This window comes from Homo sapiens, chromosome 4, assembly GCF_000001405.40.
Source record: "Homo sapiens chromosome 4, GRCh38.p14 Primary Assembly".
NCBI lineage: Eukaryota > Metazoa > Chordata > Mammalia > Primates > Hominidae > Homo > Homo sapiens.
The window spans coordinates 163,073,756-163,077,651 of NC_000004.12; positions in this window are offsets into that span (position 1 = coordinate 163,073,756).

The window sequence follows — 3,896 nt, forward strand, 5'->3', positions numbered from 1 at the left end:
GCGCCAGCATTGTTAAATAGCTGTGCTGGCCATTCTCAGTAGGCCAGAAATGACAGTGCTAACTGCTGCCCCAAGGTGGGCTCTCTAAATTTACTGATGACAGGATCCCATAGTGACTGCAGCCAAGTGCAGACACCCAATTATCAGAGACAAAGTGGGTATTTTTACTATAATGAACAACAGAGCCAAAGCAGTACTCAGAATTGATTGGTCTAGAGGAATCTTTGACATTAGCTAATAGATTGTAGTGTCTCTATAACAGAAATAAATGGCTGCTTATTGAAGCATTGCTTGACTTCCATAGAAGAAAAGCTCTAGATCTGGCAAATCCAAGTCTGATTTGAATTATCACAATAGGGAGCTGCAGCCCCACAAGCAAAATCCAGCACATTCATCAGTGACAGACCCAGAGTCATCCAAACAGTTTCCTTTGGGGAAAGACCCTCTTTGCCAGCTGAAAACTAACACTGTCAATCTGTTTCCTAGCCTTCATTAAAAGAATCTGTCACCATTTTCCAGGGTGACTATGCTTTGAGGAAAGTAAAATAAACAGGCTTTTAGAAGATAACTAAACACTGGCTTAAAATCATTAACCATAAATTTAAAAATCGACAAACTAAGCTATAGTAAAATTAGTATTTTCCGTTCATAAATGGCACCATTAAGCAAATAAAAATGCAAGTCACTGAGTAGGAAAGATATTTGTAACACATTGAAGGAAACCAAAATATTTCCCCAAAATATTGAGGATTGTTAATTTAAAGACATTAAAAACACAGGGGAACACTCCGCCTCAGCCTCTGTTTTCCTGATGGCAAAACATAAATCCTTTCATACTGGAAACAGCACTTGTTTATCAGCCCAGAGAAGACATCAAAGGCACCAGAAGAATCTGGGGACAGATTTTACTACCTTCCCACATATTCCTACCTTTTCAAAGACTTGAACTGCTCTCTTCTTTGTCTTGTCACTACATAGAATTTATGGCTGTTTGTTAAAATACTATTTAAGCAAGGTCTCGAAGCCATTGCCTTAAAAGAGAAATACTTTTGAACTGAGGCCTTTCCTACCTGATGGGCACACCATGCGTTAATTAACTTCTGTTTTTCTTGCATTAATATGACATTTGTTTTCACAAGAGTGTCTCAACTAAGAACCTAAAAAAGAAAAGAAAAGAAATTGTTTTCTCCCCACATCTTGAAACCAACAAGGGGATCATATCCAGAATATATTAAGAACTATCAAAATGTTTAAAAAGATTGGCAAGGTACTGTTTTTCAGTTTGACAAGAGACCTGAACAGCCACTGACCCAAAGAGGTTCTTTAGATAGCCAATATATTTAAAAGAATGCAAACTCGTAAGTAATGAAAAGAAATAAAATTTCAATGAGATGCCACTACATATTGACCAGAATAGTTAATTTTTAAAAAATACACAAATGTTGGCAAGAATATAGACGAGTGGTAATTTTATGTATGATCATAAAACCACCTTTGTGGTCAGGCACGGTGGTTCACGCCTGTAATCCCAGCACTTTGGGAGGCTGAGACACGCAGATCACCTGAGGTCAGGAGTTCGAGACCAGCCTGGCCAACATGGTGAAACCCCACTTCTACTAAAAATACAAAAATTAGCCGGGCATGGTGGTGGGTGCCTGTAATCCCAGCTACTTGTGAAGCTGAGGTAGGAGAATCGCTTGAACCCAGGAGGCAGAGGTTACAGTGAGCCAAGACTGTGCCATTGCACTCCAGCCTGGGCAACAAGAGCAAAACTCCGTCTCAAAAAAAAAAAAACAAAAACAAACAACAACAACAAAAAAACACCTTTGCAAAAGTATGGCAGTAAGAAATATCCGACATAGTTGACTCTATCTTGCTTCTGACCTCCAAGGTATCCTTGGTCACTCCTGGGCATAGGCCAAGCTAATTTGGGGAGGAATTTAGTTTATAATTTAACATTAAAGCTAGGATGATAATAGCCTTTCCCCAAACTAAATTGCCTTTATAAAATTAATGAAAGGGCACAAGGTTGGGATTAGGCGATGGGGCATGAATTCTGATAAGATGTAGACATAGTTTTTATAATTCCTTACTGCTCAGAGGTCAAATGGCCAGAAGTCACAAGATTTGTGACTTCCAGCCAGGCGTGGTGGCTTACACCTATAATCCCAGCACTTCGGGAGGCCGAGGCAGGCAGATCACTTGAGGTCAGGAGTTCAAGACCGGCCTGGCCAACATGGTGAAACCCCGTCTCTACTAAAAATACAAAAAAATTAGCTAGGCGCAGTGGCATACCCCTGTAATCCCAGCTACTTGGGAGGCTGAGGCAGGAGAATCACTTGAACCTGGGAGACAGAGGTTGCTGTGAGCCGAGATGGCACCACTGCACTCCAGCATGGGCAACAGAACAAGATTTTATCTCAAAATAAATAAATAAAAAGATCTGTGACTTCCCCATTTGCTCCTATAGATAATATCACTATTGTAGAGCTTAAGATTGGTGTTTCGAGATTTTTTTTCAGACTTTTTGGCCAACAATTGACCCCGCCCAGACCCTTGACTTGTGATTCAGCACAGGAGGACTGTTTTCCACAGCCCTATGATTTCATCCCCAACCAACCAGCAGCACCCATTCCCTAGCCTCCTGCCCACCAGATTGTCCATAAAAACCTTAACCTCTGTGTCTTCCAGGAGACTGATTTCAATGATAATTCTAATTCTCCTGCATAGCCAGCCTCATGTCAATTAGATTTCTCTACTACAATGCTGCAGTCTCAGTGATTTTATTTTCTTTGTGCAATGGGCAGGAAGAAACCATTGGGTGATTACAGTAAAGGTTATATAAACTGGTATAAACTCTTTGGAAATTTTTACATTATCTACTAAATTTCAATGTATACATACCCCATGACCGAGAGAAATGCCTTCACATGTACAAGAAAAATTGTGCATAAGTATATTCATGGCACTGTTATTTGTAAGAGTAATGGTCATATATTTATATAATAAAATATAGTACAGAAAGGAAAATTAAAGAAATACTTGCTATTTGCAACAAAATGAATGATACTCAAAACATAAATCTTGAACAAAAGAAGGCAGACATCAAAGATTACATACCATAGGATTACATTACAACAGAGTTGAAAAACTAATAGTGTCAGAATTAAGGACAGTGGTTACCTTTGGGAAAGGGGATAGAGATAGAAATTAGAAGGGGCCCTGACAAGGCTAATGGTGTGCTGGAAATTCTCTACATCTACGTTTTGATCTATGTAGTGCATATGTAGGTGTTTCCAACTTGGGATAATTTATTAAACTATACGTATATGAGTTACACATGTTTCTATGTGTTTAATATATTTAAGTGTTTAAAAAGTATTTTTAGAAGACAAAAATTGGATGACTAGATTTTTTTTAAAAAAAATCTATGAAAGTGACAATAGGCCAGTTGTTATAAAAGTGTAGCCTCTAGACCAGCAGCCTCAGTATCACATGGAATGTGTTAGAAATTCAAATTCTTGGGCCCTACTCCAGACCTACTCAACCAGAAGCTCTGGGAGAGGAACCCAAAATTATGTGCTTTAAAAAACTCTCCGGGTGAATCCAAGGTACCCTTAGGTTTGAGAACTGCTGCAGTAGACACATCTAAAACTTAAAGACAGAAATATTGGAAATAAAATAATGGAAAATATAAATATCTGGCAATTCTAATTAAGTCAGCATAGCTATATTAATTTAAAACAAAATAGAATTTAAGGCACAATGAATTATTAGAGATAAAGAATAACTTCTTTATAGAGACACAAGGTTAATAAAGTCACTTCTTTGTAAACTGATAACATCTAATCCAGGGGCCAAGGGAAAGCTTCTCCTCCACCTTCTAAAGGTTCACT